The 16,777-nt window shown below is 37.8% G+C and overlaps 1 protein-coding gene and 1 long non-coding RNA gene across 64 annotated transcripts in view; one reads left to right on the forward strand and one right to left on the reverse strand.

Annotated features, from left to right (window-relative positions):
- Positions 1-16,777, reverse strand: part of DLG2 (discs large MAGUK scaffold protein 2) — a 2,173,362-nt gene that overhangs the window by 178,949 nt on the left and 1,977,636 nt on the right. The window lies entirely within an intron of this gene.
- Positions 3,733-16,777, forward strand: part of DLG2-AS2 (DLG2 antisense RNA 2) — an 87,698-nt gene continuing 74,653 nt past the window's right edge. The window contains exons 1-6 of the long non-coding RNA NR_187249.1: positions 3,733-3,990; positions 4,442-4,526; positions 8,430-8,540; positions 9,642-9,754; positions 11,795-11,877; positions 13,544-13,634. This is a non-coding gene — a long non-coding RNA (DLG2 antisense RNA 2). The remainder of the gene's footprint in view (positions 3,991-4,441; positions 4,527-8,429; positions 8,541-9,641; positions 9,755-11,794; positions 11,878-13,543; positions 13,635-16,777) is intronic.

The raw sequence follows: 16,777 nt of genomic DNA on the forward strand, positions 1-16,777 counted from the left end.
AAAAAACAAAAAACAAAAAAAAACTCCATGGGAATCCCAACTCAATAGGGTATTGAGGAGAGACTCTAGTTACTCTCAGCCTGATAGACCTGACAATCAAGAGTTTGGTGATGAATTGTGTAAGAAATTTCATTTAATTTAACTAAATTTTGTTAGGGGGTGGGGGTCTGCTAGAAGTTGACCACTTGGGATCATACCTCAATTTTGTCCTATAGCTTTGCCCACATGCCAAATTTTAGAAATTTTCAAACATTAAAAGTTATGGGGATAAAAAAATCAAAGAAATCTGTATATTATAACATTGCTATTGTTTCACAGAAAAAAATATTTTTGGCATGTCAACCCAATAAAGATAAAGAAAGAATCGGTTCTAAGGTACTTATTAACACAATGAACATGTAAAAAGAAACGGCTTTTGATGTTTCAATATTTTTTATCACAACCTAGAAACTTCTATCATTTCCTTGGCAAAACAATGTCTTGCTTTAGAAAATTCAGCAGGCTTAACTTACCCACAAATAAACTTAAAAATGTTAATTGGAATTATAAATGGTTCTTTTAATTACAAAGAAACTCACCATGAAGAATTTTAATAGAGTATATCAGTATATTTCAGAAAACAATTTGATTTTCAATTCAATTTATTCACAACTTTAATAAAACAAGGATGAATGTATACAATAAAAGATGATCTACTTACAGAGTGTTTCAAATTCTTTATAAGAAAAAGTTCTATAAAATGTAATTTCATTTCAACTTACTGGATATGTATTGATTAATGTAGGGATAGCTTTTCTAAAAGATTTGACCTTAGTTTTCAGCAATAAATAGATAACAGGAAAATAAACTCTGAATATTAAATATTTTTAAAGTTTAGTACACAACAGATAAAGCCATAATAGTTGGCTGGAAATTTCTGGTGCATAAGCAAAGTCTGGTATTATCCAGATTTGGAAGGCTTCCTGCTCATGCTTAGCTTTGAATAAATAAGTCCTAAATGATTAAATAAGTAGAACACATATTTAACAACATATTTAAGGTAAAAATCTATTGACTATAATTTAGGAAAATGTATTTCATTTTCTAGCAAGAGAAAACATTTATTTATAAACATCAATATGATACTGTATGCAGGCCAGGTGTGGTGACACACACATATAGTCCCAGCTATTTGGGAGACCGAGGCAGGAAAATCACTTGAGCCCAGGATTTCAAGGTTTTAGTGACTTATGATCTCACCACTGCACACCAGCTTGGGTGACAAAGTGAGACCCTGTCTTTATTTAAAATTAAGGAAAAATAAAGATACGATACTGTATGCAGATTTAAATCATTTTGAGCAAGTCGTATTTTCTTGCCACCTTGGAAGAGTCAATTAACATTTATTGCTGGCCACATGGCAGACAATATGCTCAATGCTTCATGGGCATTATCTCATTTCTGTTTTAAATTACAAAATGAAGTCTATGGATGTTGAAAATTTTGAAAGATATAGAAAAACACAGGATAAAAATTGAGAGGCTCTCGTCTCTTCTGCCTTCCCTTACCTTCTCTCTCACTGCTCTCTTTCCCTACAGCTTACCCTAGTGGTACATGTATGGTTGTGTGCCGGATATGTATGTGTGTGTTTGTGGGTAGCTGTGTGTACATACACACATAACCATACAAACAAGACCATAGCTATTTATTGTATTAAGACTTTTCCCCCCTTTTTAATAGTGTAATTTGGATATTTTCCTGCCTTCTACCAAATACATAAATATCATGTTTCTTAATACTCTTAATAGTCTATTCCATAGTTTAGACTGTATTTAACAACTCCCTTATCATTAGATATTTAGGCTTGTCCAGCTTTTTGCTATCACAAACAGGGATCTTGGTGTATATGTGAATGTTGGCAGCAGGTTAGCAGAGCACCAGAAGTGGGACTACTGGTCAAACCTTTGCACAAAAATCATACAGCCTCTAATAGCATTTCCCAGAGAAGAAAAGGGCCTTGTCTGGAACACAGATCAAGAACTCTTAACTTTTTCTGATCCATGCTTTACATTGCCACTTGATAAATACTACATGTCATCTCTAAGTACCACTAAATCTCCCATCTGGAGAGATGGGACACTCTCCTTTATACCTTTGATGACTTTACTACCCATGATAAAAGCAGGAGATCCCACCTTCCAGCTGCCCCTTCTTAAACATCTAACTCTGTGCAAGTCCCAACCCTCATTTAATCACTTTGCTACTTCATTGCATTCATCACACCAACTTGCAGTTATTTGTACAGTTGTTCATCTTCCATTAGACTGAGCCCTCTGAGGGCAGGAAATATTTTTCATTCTTCTTGGAACTTCCTTTTCCTAACATAGTGTCTGAGATGCTCAATAAACTTTTTTTTGAGTGAATAAAAAATAAATGAGGGAGTAGAATACCTAGATGAATTCAGTTATAAAATGGCTCCAGGTACTGAAATTGTCCATTTTCATTTTTATGTTTTTGCAATAAGAAAGATGAACATGCATCTCCCCTAGTGCTACTTTTTTCAAAACTAAATATTCTAATTCCAAGGCTTTATTTCCGTCAAATAACTACCACTTCCAAATTCTTCTGTTATTTTTATTGTTCTCCAGGATCTCTCCATCTCAATCATGTCATACATTGGAAACAATTCTCTGACACTTCATCTATATACAATCAACACTTTGTTAGGCTCTTGTAGCTGCCTCATTTTTTGTAACACAATAGAATACTTGCCTTAATAATAAATTATATTTGCCTTACAGTATGGCTTATTAGATACCCAAAATGTTTTCTGCCATGCTTTCGAAATGTTTTGACTGCATGACATTCTATGGTGTTAAAATTCCCCAAAATGAATGATTTATACTGCATTTGCCTTAATTGGAATCTATCCTGTTTTCATCTTTCCTACTTTGACAGTCATCTCAATGTAAATCCTGTGTCAGAGGTGCTTATCTGTCTCTTTGCTACTTTTCTTTGAAAACTAAACATAAACACAAGAAATTTCACATAGTAAAACTAGTAAGATCTGGGTTTATAAATATAAATGGTGCATCTGTGGCGGCAGAGCTCTGTCTCCAACTTCTTGGAGATAAACAAGTTCATAGTTAGAAATGCTCTAGAAGTAAACAGGAAACCTGCTACACAAATTGTGAAATATAAGTATGTTTTATAGAAGTCCTGAAATTGTATTTTTCAACAAGTTAAAACAGAAAAACCTAACACTACCATATCCATTAAATATTAATTCTCTCTTCCTCAAATGTTTTACTCATATCTATGCCTGTCCCTTTGGAACATTTTTCAGTCAAATTCATAACACTGTCTTGATTCCAAGCCTCAGGAGAACATTTGAATGAAATTTTCAAATGCTTCAATTTTTATATCATCCAATGTGGAATTCACATTTACTGAGCACCTGCAATGAGCTAGGATCTGTACTACATACTTTTAAAAATACATTATTTTTCCTAAGAAAGTTCTGAGGTAGATATATTATTTTACAGATGAGGAAACAGAGGTTCAGAGAGGTTAACTGACTTCACAAAAGTCATAGAGCTACTAGGTAACAGAGCTCATTGAACATGGAGCTAGGATTCAACCCTGGATCGCCGTGAAGCCATTTTGTTTCCATGACATCATGACATTGGTTATAACACCACAATTGTTTAGAATATAAGGCTTGTTTAGAATGCAAGGCTTCCTCAATTCTCCACCCTTCCCCTCTTGACATCTTGCTCTTCTTCCCTTCATCTATTGTGTTAGTCAGGTGCATGCTGGTCTTCCCTCTATCAAACTGTAAGCTACTTGGAGACTTGGGATGCCTCACTCATCTCTATTCCCAAACCTCAGGGTCTATCATTCTACCTTCTGTATAGACAGGACTTTCATAGTTTTGAACAAGTCAGAACCTGAAAGAATTTGCTTCCAGAACAGGACATTGACAGGAAAATTAAGCATGATCATGCCGAGGTATAAAACAATATTAAAATTGCAGCATTTTCTTCTGTCTTGCTTTGCATGAAATAGATGTTTGGTAAATGCTTTTTAAATTACAAGTTGTTTTATGTTTTGGGGGGATTTTCTTCTGTAACAAGAAGCAAACCACTGAAACCCAACTCCTAAGCAAACGTTTTAGAGGAGCTTCATGAAACATTACCCCCAGCTAGTTCTTTCTCCACCTCTATATATGATAACCCATTTTCTCCTCCACATTTTTGAGTATGTAAAGCCAGTTGTTCCTGACTAGGTGCATTTAATTTGGGGTTCTGGCATTTGTATTCACTTGAACAAGATGGATGATAATAGTAAAAAGTGTACAAGATTTGGGTTATGTAGATGGAGTCAAAATCCTGGTTGTGCCACTAAATAGCTATACATTACTGTGAAAGTTATTAACCTTTCTGTGCTTAATTTTCTCAAGTAAAATAGGAATAAGAATTGGACCTACCTCAAGATCTGTTGAGAAGATTATGAGAGAGCTGATGGATCTAAAAGATTGGCGCTTGGTAATGACTGTCAATTCTTTCTATTACTTCTGTGTGTAATTCATCACCTATTCTTGTTCATCACTTGCGAAAATTGTAACCCCTTTCTGTACTGAGTAAAATGGAAACCTGTGTCTGCTCCTAGAGCCCCCTGTTACGGCCTCCCTCTACTTGTTATGAATTGATGTCTTCACCAGGTCAAATAGGAATGAGCCACAGATGGCCATACTTTGGGACACTTGCCATCAGGTGGAACTTCTCATCTGCTAGGCAACCACTCAGGGTACTCTCATAAGTTCATAGTGACTTGGAGTCCAGGAGAATAATGTCCAATTCCAAAGCTGCTGCTATTTTCAGGAATATCAGTGATTTCATTCATCAGTATTATCTCAAGGCCTTGAGCTACTGATGGACACTTGGATGGAGCAAGGTCATAGGTGTGAACACCACAAACTACACAGTGAGGGGGGCTCTGCCATACACTTGTTTGCAATTTGTTAAGGGTAAGTAAGGCGACTCAGAATGCAAATCTACCATTCACACAGAAAAGGAGGCATTGCCTCCTGTGAGAAGGCTGGCATTGTTTAATGCAGTAGGATTAATCTGCATTGATTAAAACTGCCCAGCTGCTCATGTCTTCGAGACTCAGGTGGCTTACTTTGGTTCTGAGATAAGAAAACAATACACTCAGTGGGTTAGGCAATAGCATGAGGCCATGGCCTGCCCTCCCCCTTTCCCAAGTGAGATGGTGGGCAGCATGCCCCTCGATCAGTCACGACCTCATCCAGGGGTCTCATGATTGCCAGATAAGAGGAAGCCATAAACGGAGGGAACAGGGTTAGAAACTCTATGTTATGGCTGGCTGCATAGTATTCCATGGTGTATATGTGCCACATTTTCTTAATCCAGCCTATCATTGTTGGACATTTGGGTTGGTTCCAAGTCTTTGCTATTGTGAATAATAAAAAACGATGAGTTCATGTTCTTTGCAGGGACATGGATGAAGCTGGAAACCATCATTCTCAGCAAACTATCGCAAGGACAAAAAACCAAACACCGCATGTTCTCACTCATAGGTGGGAATTGAACAATGAGAACACATGGACAGAGGAAGGGGAACATCACATACCGGGGCCTGTTGTGGGGTGGGGGGATGGGGGAGGGATGGCATTAGGAGATATACCTAATGTTAAATGACGAGTTAATGGGTGCAGCACACCAACATGGCACATGTATACATATGTAACAAACCTGCATGTTATGCACATGTACCCTAAAACTTAAAGTATAATAATTAAAAAAAAAAGGTACTGGGAGTAAAATTAAAAAAAAAAAGGAACTCTATGTTAGAAGGCCAGCTTTTAGTCTTAATCTTGTCATTTATTACTAGTGGGGCCTTGGGAAGTTACTGAACCTCAGTTTGTTCATCTACAAATTGTGAGGTTCACATCACAAAGTGGTTGTGAGACTCAAAATGAGATTTGACTGAAGTGTTCTGAAAATATAAGATAGGTGTTGCTGTTATTACTTTGGTGACTCCTGTCAGGACAAAGACATATGCAGTTCTTAGTGGTACTAATGGTGACAGTGGCACCCTCTTTCTATTTGTTCATTATAAACGTGTGCAGCTTTAACAACAACTGGTAAGATCACTGAGCTGTAAACAGGACTCTGCACATCCAAGCAACAGAGACTGCTTTCCTGCTGAGTTATCCATTTCCACACTACAGGAGAATTAGTTTGAAGAGACCACCTGCTGTACACACGCGATGCTTTAAATAGACACATCTGAACTAGAAGCTCTTGGTGTCTTATAATAAAGGAAATTTGTGCTTTAGGACAACTTCCAATATGGCTGGGGTAAATGTCAATGGTGTGTAGTCTGTTGGGGGTCACAATATTGTTTACCTGGATGTGACCCTCATTGTCACTGAGGCTTAGGAAGGGTACATGGTAAGGATGAAGCAGAAATGGTTTACATCTATTCTTAGCAGAGCATGTAATCACTGCTCCAGGGATGAGATGCTGTGAGCAATTATAAATGTTTCCATTTCTTTGGCGGAAACATCCTTCTTTCATTTATTCAGTAAATATTTCTTCAGGGTTTATTACATGCCTTGCACAATCCTAATTGCTGGGGATACCGAATCCACTGAACAGATTTTTTTCCTCAAGAGGCTCACAGGATAGTGCATAGTTACTTGTAATTTTCTAGTTTCATCTTGTGAATACAAAAAGAGCATTTGGTATTTAAATATCTGCTCCATTTGAGGAGTATCATGTTCTTTTTAGATGGTAACAGGATATCAAGAAACCCTTCTATCATGGAAAGACGCTAATACAGTCAGTTCCATGTTAAAATGGACAAATTGGGGCAGGTTAAATCTTTGTGAACTATCTGGTTACTTATAGAGTGAGAAGAGCAACTTGGGGTTCAAAGCAGTACCTTGGAATCAGAGTTTCTGGATTTGAGTCCTGGCTCTGAGAGATGTTAAGAAAATACCATACCCACTCAGAGATGCTGTTTTCTCATTTGTAAAATATAGAAATCATCCCTACCCCCATACATTGTTGTTCTGAATATCCAAGAGAGTGTAATTTATTTCCATCCTTTTAAGCAGTATCGATTTTAAAAAGCACCATCAATGAATAAAAGCATCTTTTTCTTGGAGAGGGTGGACACAAGACTCTTCTGATTTCACAAGCTGAAATGTATTTTGTAGAGAGGGGAAGATGTAAGTCTTATAATCAATGAAATATGATAATTCAGAATGTTTAAAACTAGAAAATCCCAAACAAATATACTACTGCTCTCTTTCCACCGGACTCTTAACCAAATAGTCACACATAAGAGGATTAGCCATAGAACACTATTTACACCTCAATTTCAAGAAGCAATGCTTTGTCAACATTCTTTCATATGATGATACAAAAATAATTTTAATTATTTGGAGCTCAGAAAATATTAGACGGTTGCCATTTCATCACCTCTTCTTTTTCTAGTTTTCCTGGGATTTCAGAGCCAGATATGCACAGAAGGGGCCCAGTCACATTACTTTAGGCTTTAGAGGTACACTTAGAGCTTTTCTCACCCTGGCTGCTTTTCAAGTCATCCTGTCAGGAAGGACGTCATTAGGAACTATTTGAGGAGCGTGGCTCCCCTCCCAGATACGCACTGGAATGCTCACCTCCGTCAAGAGCGCTGAGCTCTGGTGACTGGAAGGATTTGGGGTGGATCTCTCCAGGCTACTGCCTAAGGATTTTACTAGCTTTTACTTCAACCCGACTTAGCTCATCTCTCAAGTTGCCAACCTGCCTCTGTGTTGAAGTGGTGACGTGGAATTTTCCATTGCTAAAGACTTACAGATGTTTGGCTTACAAATCCAAGAGAGAGGGAGTGTGTGTGTGTGTGTGTGTGTGTGTGTGTATGTGTGTTTGTGTGTGTGTGAGAGAGAGAGAGAGACATAGAAAAAGAGAGAGAGATACAGAGATGGAGAGAGACAAATAGATTATGAACTAAATTCATCAGAATCCAACTTAACCAGAAATTCTAGACAATATAAAGAGTCTATCTTTTCTGCACTCCACAAAGGAAGAGGATGTATGCACCTATCTCTTGTACTTCTTTGCTACTGACCATTAATAACTCAGTTATGGATACCATGAGGGCAAGGATGTTATCATGTTTTCTTCTGTATCCTAACACCTGGCATAGCGTGTGGCACACAGTTATCAGCTAATAAATGCTAACGTAAGTGCTTGCTGAATTGGATGAGTTAAATGAAGAGTTCTGATAAACAGAAATGATCCTTTAGCTTACCAGATCTAATACTAAATAGATCAGCCTTTTAGAATAATTTTTAATAACACACTGAATTAAGGTATGTCTTTCTCCATTCCTCCTCACCCCTTCTCTGTTTTCAGATAGAATTGGGATCATTTGTTTTGACTAGAACAATCTCTTGCAGCTTGGATGGAGAAACTTTACAGAGGTTTCAGCCAAACACTCATGAATTCTTTAATGTGTGAAATAAAGTAAGTTTTATAGGCAAATAACAATCTGAATCCCTAACTAGCTATTTCATATAATATGCATATAACTCTGAAAATTACATACATCAAATTTCAATTTGGCTTCATGCATGCTTTGTTTTATAGATTCATAAAGGCAGATTTTCTCTGATTATCAGACTTATTGCAAAATGGAGTCAACACAGAAACTTCCTGAAGTTGGCAAAGCTTGTTTTCTTTGGCTGACAGGAGTAACTGATGTATTATTATTTTTTAAGGCTCTGAGATAAATCTGATTCATGTTTGAATCATAAGTTTATTATTGATTTTTAGTGTGGATTTTGCATAAGATACTCAATTTAGAGAATACTCAGCTTTCTCATATGCAGAATAGAAAAAAAGTAGTTACCTGATCAGATTTTTTGAAAGGTAAATGCAACAGCAGTTGTAAATGGCATAGTCCATTGTTAGGAATAGACTAGGTGTTCAATAAATGAATAAAAAAAAACCGTGAAGCTCTCCTGAAGCTTTATATTCCCTGTCTATAAAATGGAGACATCACTGATTTCCTGCTTACATTACAAGACTGCTGTGAAGATCAAATGAAGAAACAGATAAAAATGTTTGGTAAACTGAATTGTACAGTATAAATAGAAAGCGGTGACAAAAGTAATTCATACCAATGCAGTTTTTTAAAAATATCCCAACCTGCCTACACAACTACTTCCTCTCTCTGAGATTTATCTCAAAAGTGGAATTAGATTCCTGTCTTAGCTGTAAAAATAAAGCCACAAAGGGCATCATGCATGAGAGAGTAAATGTGAAACTCTGTGGGGGAAAATGGAAACTTCAGATATTATTAGGGCCTAGCTGCCAATGGTGATTCTCTCAAGATTTTATTGGCAGGTTGAGTGAAAGTGCCAGAGTGTGGATGCACAAATTGTAGTTTAATTGGTGTGATTTATAGCTAATGGTGCATCAGAAGGAGGAACTAGGAACTGTGCCTTCTAATTTAAGGCATAGTACCTAAGACTGCATCCACTAGGTAAGAAAACCTTCCTTGGCAAACTCAAATATTAAATCTTCGCTGAATTTGTCTTGTTCTTTTATATAAAAATCATGGAGCCAGGAGCTAAAATAATATCTAAGTTTCCTCTTTGCCTGACGCCATCCATGCAAAATGTGACTTGCTTCTTCAGCAGCAGCATGAAAACAAACTAATACACCACTATTCCTAGGTAAGTAGAGCCACAATGGGAAGACCACTAAGGGAATATGGAGGCTCACAGAGGCTAGTCAATTTATCCAAGGCCACGCAGCAAAGCTGGGACTCAAACTCAAATCTTCTAGTCCTAGTTTCATTCAGTTTTTTTTTTTTCCTACATTGATTCTAGACTTTGTTCTACAAGTGACTACTTTTCTGTTTTGTTCCTGACATGAACATGTCCATGGCTGTCTCAGACTTGTTTGGTTACCCTAAGTAACCATTTAGCAGCCAATTTCTGATATGACTATAGATACATCTCTATAAGTGAATTCTATAGGTGATTTGGCATGATCAAAATGAAAAGGCTTTGTTTGAGTTCCCCAATATACTGCTCAAATGAAAGCTTCTCAAAATATCATTTTGAGATACGACAGGTCTTTCCTTCAAATACAACAGATACTTTTCTTTTGCAGCACTCAGCATACATACAACTATTTATTTATCTGTAAGTACTTGCTTAGTATCTGTGAAGAACATTGCAGGTACCTGACATATGTCTAACTGATGGAGTGAGGCTGCTAATGTGGCCATCTCTCCCTCTTCCTGATAAGAAAGTGAACCAGCCATTTCAAAATGTGGAGAATTCGATAAATATGTTCTACTCCTCTATAGCCCTCCCACTAAAATAATTTTCAATTTTCAATTGAGGTGAAAGGAAGAATCGGCAAAGAGACGGATTGAGAGAATTGTTTATACTCATAACTTCGTTCTCAACATAATTATCTATTTCTGAATCCTAAAAATCACCTAGCTAGATTCTCCCTCAATCTGAAGATTACCTTTTACTCCTTGAGATGCTAAATGTGTTCCTATTTATCATATTAATATTGCGAGTATTTTGTGTTATGCAGCCAGAAAAATCACATAATGGGAACTTACCCACAGCCCCCAAACTCATAAACAGGAGCTGAATAGAAATTCCTCAGTGCAATTTATGGTAACAATTTCATGCTCAGTTTAGTTACTTCCATGACTCAGAAAAGAAATTTCTTTTGCTTATTTCAGTAATTTTTTTCTAAAAAATTGTTCCCCTAATTTTTGGCAAAGGATCTATGAGAAAGTGAAGAACTCCCTGGTTGTACATGGATTTGGAATTGTCACTTAAGTGAGGCCAAAATGTAACCCTATGCCATTCATTGCATAGTACCATTTGTTATAAATTTGACCTCTAAAACAAAGATATTACAAAGCCATTGAGTGTTTTTTTAAGGGATATATTATATTTGTCACTTAGTCCCCAGTATTATGATGGAAAACCTGGATAGTGGATAGAAAACCTGGAGGTCATTTAGGCATCTCTTTCACTGGTTGGGTGAGAAATGGTGAAGAAGATGGGAATGGAGAAGGGACATACATTTGGTAAGTGTAAATAAGAGTCTTTGCTGATTAATTCAGTGTGGCCCATGAGAAAGAGTGGAAGTGTCCAAGGTTCCCTCAGGTTTACAGCTTGGGCAACTGACTGAGAACAGAAAGGAGCTGCCATTGAGAGGAAGAAAAGAAAATGACACTGAGTCCATGTTGGGACACATTGGGTTTAAAGGGATATCATTATGACCTAAGCTCTCTGAATTCCAGTGACTGGGAATATGGGAAGATACATCTTTAACAGTTGAAGCAATTTATACACTTTAACAATTGAAGCAATTTATACACCAGAGCCTAAGGAATATTTATAGATGAGGGCTGTGCTGCAATGACAGATAGGGTTGTATGAAACATACACTAATCTGACCATTCTATCCTCCAGACTCAGGGAAGGAAATAATAAAAGTAAGTAACCATAAAAAATAGACTTTTATGCATAAATAAATAAAAATCAGCTAGGAGACAGTTCATCCCTGTATAAGTAAAACAGGCAAATTTATCTTTCCTCTGATTAATAATTTAAGAAAAAATCCCAAGCAAGCTGCCTATGGAGGTGTAGGAGTAGCTCCTATAATTAGACTCCAATTTGAACCATGAGGGTGAGGATCAGAAAGCTGACTCAGAGCCTGGTGTCAATTATTTGCAGTTTGTACAACGAAAGGCTAAAAATTTGGGAGATGCAGGATGACTGAAGCCCGATTCTGGGGGTTGTTACAGCACAGTTACAGGGTAAGTTTTTTCCATTGTTATTTGCTGGAAAATTTATTCTCCATCTCCTTTAGTCTGTGCCTGAATTTTGTGGGACTTGCTCGAGAATGGTATTCATGCTTTAAATCCAAGAGCCAGGAATCATCGCATTTCAACAATTTTCCTATTTATTTTAACCAAAACAGAGCTGGTTTCTATAACTCAATTTAAGAAATTATCCTCTTTGATACAATCTACTTATGTTTGATTGATTTTAGAATAAACTAACAGATACACAAGAGCTTATCAAGCTAGCTCGGTTCAGTGGAGAACTATAGCAGAAACAGCAGGTTTCTATTTGGCACATTTTGGATTTATCTGGACGCAAGAGGATGTGAAAAGAACACCTTTCAGACAAAAGCCAGTCTTGAGTAGGAATTTAGTGTTCCTTGCCCAAACAGCTTAGTTTGTTTCCCATTTTGAGTCACTATCTGAATCCTTTTTTATCTCCTATATAGAACAAATTCTCTCCCTCTATTTAATAGGCTTTCAGATATGAAACAGAGAGAGAGAGAGAGAGAGGAAGGAAGGAAGGGAGGGAGGGAAAGAGAAAGGGAAAGAAGGAAGGAAAAGCTCTAATTTCTTCTGTTCTTTTGGTAACACACCTCCCCTTCACATCCTTCAGCTGCTCCCCTTAGGGCTTTTTGTAGACACTTTTGGTGGTCTCTCCTCTCACACACTGCTCACCACTGTACTTTATTTTGTATCATCTGTCTCCATCCTTTCCCAACTCCTGAGCACTCAGCCTCCTCTGGATCTTTTCTGGTTCCTTCGCTCCTAGAACTGTGTCTGATGGCTTATGAAGGCAAATGACAAATGTTTGCCATATGCACATGTATGTGCATGAATGAATACATCCAGGTTCTGACTTCCTCGGGGCAACCTCTACTTTCTCAATGCCCCTCTTAAGATGGGGGTGGGGGAGGGTCCTCCTAGAACTGAACATGATATTCCAGGTGTGATCTAATACATTTAAATGTCCAAAAGCTCTTTCTTCCCTAAACGTTCCTTTTTAAAAGCTACTGTTCTCAATTAATGGGTGTCTCATCTTCTTAAGTATATTAATAAGAGGTATTTTGATGTTTCCCTCCATTCTGTGGATTACCTCTTGATTCTCTGGATTCTTTGTGATTCCGTTTTGTTTTAAGGATGTTCTCAGGTGTCTGGTGATCCTTGCTTATAAGTCCAAATTAATGATGAGGCACTAAAATGCTGATTGGAAGCTCTCTGTGCAGGCAGGTATTGTTGAATAGTGGTAAACAGGGGACATGTTCATTTTGGAGACACTCAAATATCAGGACCTATAAATCTCTATGCCAAGTCAGTTTCCCCAGAGTCTCTTAATATCATTTCTTTCAGGTTAAAAGCCTGGTTACCAGGTTCTGGGAGTGAAGGGAGGAGTGGGGCTTAGACAAGGGTGGGGGCGGGGGTATGTCTCACAATTCACTAAATACCTTCTTTTATATATGTGTTCTCTGTGCAGCATTTTACCCCCACCATCGTCCATGTCTGATGCCTCAGGTTCAATCTTGTTCAGTCTTTCCAAAGAGGAAACATTGGTTGGGTGGGAATGATTGGCAGGTCGAAGAGAGAATTTGAAGCTATAGCTGCTCCTTTTAAAACTTCTAACTCATCTTTGTTTTTTCAGGCCTTCCTCACACCCATGTCTTCAGATACCCAAGGCCTTTAATACCCAAGTCCTTCCAGGATTCTGCACATCTCATTAGCTTCATATTCCCGTAAGTACTTGGGTTTCTGCTTTCTCAGCTCTGATGTGTCATTTTCTAATCAATCATCAGCATTCCAGCTTCCAAAGTTTTGTTCATATATCTTACATGTGTTGTCTTGACCGACTTCTTTTTGGACCTTAGATTATTTACCTATTTAAATTCCTTAATTGTTACTTTAGTGGAGTTTTGGAAGGGAACAAAAATATAGGCAGGTGTTTATCACATTTAACAAGGAACTCAAAATTTATATTTAATTCTATTTAATCTGGCTGCCTTCTTGCCATCAGTCTATTTGAAAAGTTCATATGGACCCAGCTCTGTCATCATCACATGTTCTATATCCCCAAACCTTGTGACATCTGCAAAGAAGTACAGAAGACCTCAAGAGAAGATAAGCTAGAATTTATTTATTTTTATACCTTTTATTCAGTTTTTATTAAAGCTTTCCTACCTTTCCAGATTGACACAGAATTATTCCATGAATCTGTCTATTAATCCATTTACAGCAAGTGCTGGGGATAGAAATTAAGGTTTAAACATATAATTCCTGCCATCAAAGGACTCCCTGTTGATTAGGGGACACAGGCAAGAAAATAGACAGTAAGTTTGTTAAGGCATGAACAAAGAACTGTGTTGGTACACACAGTACAGAGAGGAAGTACAAAGAGGATGGTGCTTAAGAAGAGTTAACACCTAGACCTAATCTTAGAGGATGAGGAAGCATTGGGTAGACTAGAAGACTAGGTGTAGGGGTAAAGGAAGGCATATCAGAGAAAAGGGAGCAGCTACATAGAGGCAAGGACTATGCCTCTTCTGCCTCTGAAGAGGAGAAATTTCTTTCAATCAATAGAAAGTGCAGGACAAAGGGTACTAAGTCATCTTTTGATGGGATAACTTGATGTTAGTGTCCTTCCATGAGAAAATGGGAAGCAGCCCCTTATAATAAAACCTCTGGCTTTTGAATTACCAAGTAAAACTGAGGTGTCAGCAACCCTTGGCTGAATGTGGAACTTGCTAATAGAACCCCTACATTCATGGGAAGGGATAAAAGAGCTTTAAAAAGTACAAAAGCATTGTGTGAATATATGGGATTAATATTACTACTACAATATTGCCTACCACCACCATCCCCAGCCCTGAGGAGTCTTCTTAAACTTACAAAATGAAGCTGCTTCTCTATGGATGTAGACATTTCCTGGTTTCAACATTGCACCATAGCTATGCATTATGTCAACATTGGGAAAAGGCAGGGTGGAAGGTGCACAGGAGCTCTCTGTACATTTCTTTGAAACTTCCTTTATACCTTTTAAAAGTTAAAAAGCAGCAGCAGTGGCAGCTTCTCAAGGCCAAAGATGGGGAGCTCTATTTCATTTGCATTTCTACTCAGGGCTATAATGAATTGAACTCAATGTGTTGCTAAAGATTATTATGAAATTAAAATCCAATTAGGATGGTCTCGTGGGTCTGGTAAAAGCTTGGATTAGAGACCAGGCACAACACGGGGTTGGGGGAGATGGACTGCTCAATAGAAGTAGGGCTGAGTGGGGAGTTTAAAGCACTGGCCTCTAAGTATAGGAACCACTGTACAAATTTTAAAATATACTCAGGATAGTTAATATTTGATCAAAATCCACTGTGAAGTGAGGAATTTTTCCTGCTGGGCATTCTATTTTCCAGTTCTATGATCAAGCCCAGTGACTGGTAAATACAATATGCCCCACTAGCCCCCAGCTTCTCCCAGCTCCTGTTCCCTCCTGGTGCTCAAAGGGAGAAAGGCTAAGAAATTCCAAGCCCTGGTCAGGAAAGTGATCTTGAAATCACACACAATGAATAGTGCCATCACTAATGACTCAGCTTGTAAAGAACCAGTGAAGTGAGGAAATTCTTTCTATGCACAGAATGTCTAGATATTTAGGCAAAATTGAAGGGGATGAGGCAGGAATAACCAGGACAAACTCAGTAAGAACTTCAACCCTGGTTTTCTCAAGATTCAGTTTATGTGCTGATCATTTTCTCTCATATCTAATTCCCTTACTTCCCCTGCTCTGTTTTACATCGAAAGTGCTGACTTCATGCAAATTACATGCAATTTGCATGTAATTTGGAATTTGCTCCCTGGGAAAATCACTTCTGACTAGGTTCAGCCAATGGGAGGCACTAACAGGAGATTGGAGGGTAGGAGGAAGGGAGGCATAAGGGAATTTCTTTCCCCTCTCTGTTTCAGGTGGCATTTCAAGAATGTCTGTTTTTCCTCCATGATTTCTATAGATATTCCTTAATTTTCAAGTCTCCATTAGCATAGGTATGAAGGTTTCTCAATGTGCTCTTGCTTTGGCTTCCTTTAGTCAGAATAGAAAGAGAAAGTTTTTTAACTTTATTCAAACATATTAGGGGTTTGCTAGAGAATACATTATTTGCCCCTAGTTATCCTGATGTTATAAAAGGAGGCAGACCTGGACAAGTGTAAATTAGCACAGACATTCTAACAATCACCAGAAAAATGCACCCATAAGTAGTGCCAATGCAAGAAGTTTTGACTGTAATGCCCGTGTGCAGTAGGCTGAATGATGGCCCCCAAGTATATCTATATCCTAATCCCGAGAACTTGTGAATGTTACTTGCTATGCTGAAAGGGACTTTGAAGGTGTGATTAAGGGTTTTGAGATGGGGAGATTTTCCTGGATTATATGAATGTGTCCTAAATATAATCACACAGGTCCATGTAAGAGGTAGGCAAGGTCAAAGGAGGAAATAGAAGGTAAGATAATGAAAACAAGAGGTTGGAGGGCTGTGAGGAAGGGGGTCACAAGCCAAGAAGCATAGGTGGCCTAGAGAAGCTAGAAAACACAAAGAAATGGATTTCTTATAGAGTCTTCACGGGGGACTAGCCTTGCTCACACCTTGACTTTAGCCTAGTGAAACTGATTTCAGACTTCTGGCCTCCAAAACTGTAAGAGAATAGAACTGTGCTGTAATAAGCCACTAAATTTGTAGTAATTTATTATAGTAGCAATAGGAAACTAATCCAATGTTCCCAGATATGAAAAAAATTTCTTTTTCTTTAAACACGCCACCTGAATGTGAACATATTCCTCTTGCTTTAAAAATTCCACATCTAGGCTATTAGCAAAATTCATACACAAATTCTAGCT

This window comes from Homo sapiens, chromosome 11 (assembly GCF_000001405.40).
Source record: "Homo sapiens chromosome 11, GRCh38.p14 Primary Assembly".
Lineage (NCBI taxonomy): Eukaryota > Metazoa > Chordata > Mammalia > Primates > Hominidae > Homo > Homo sapiens.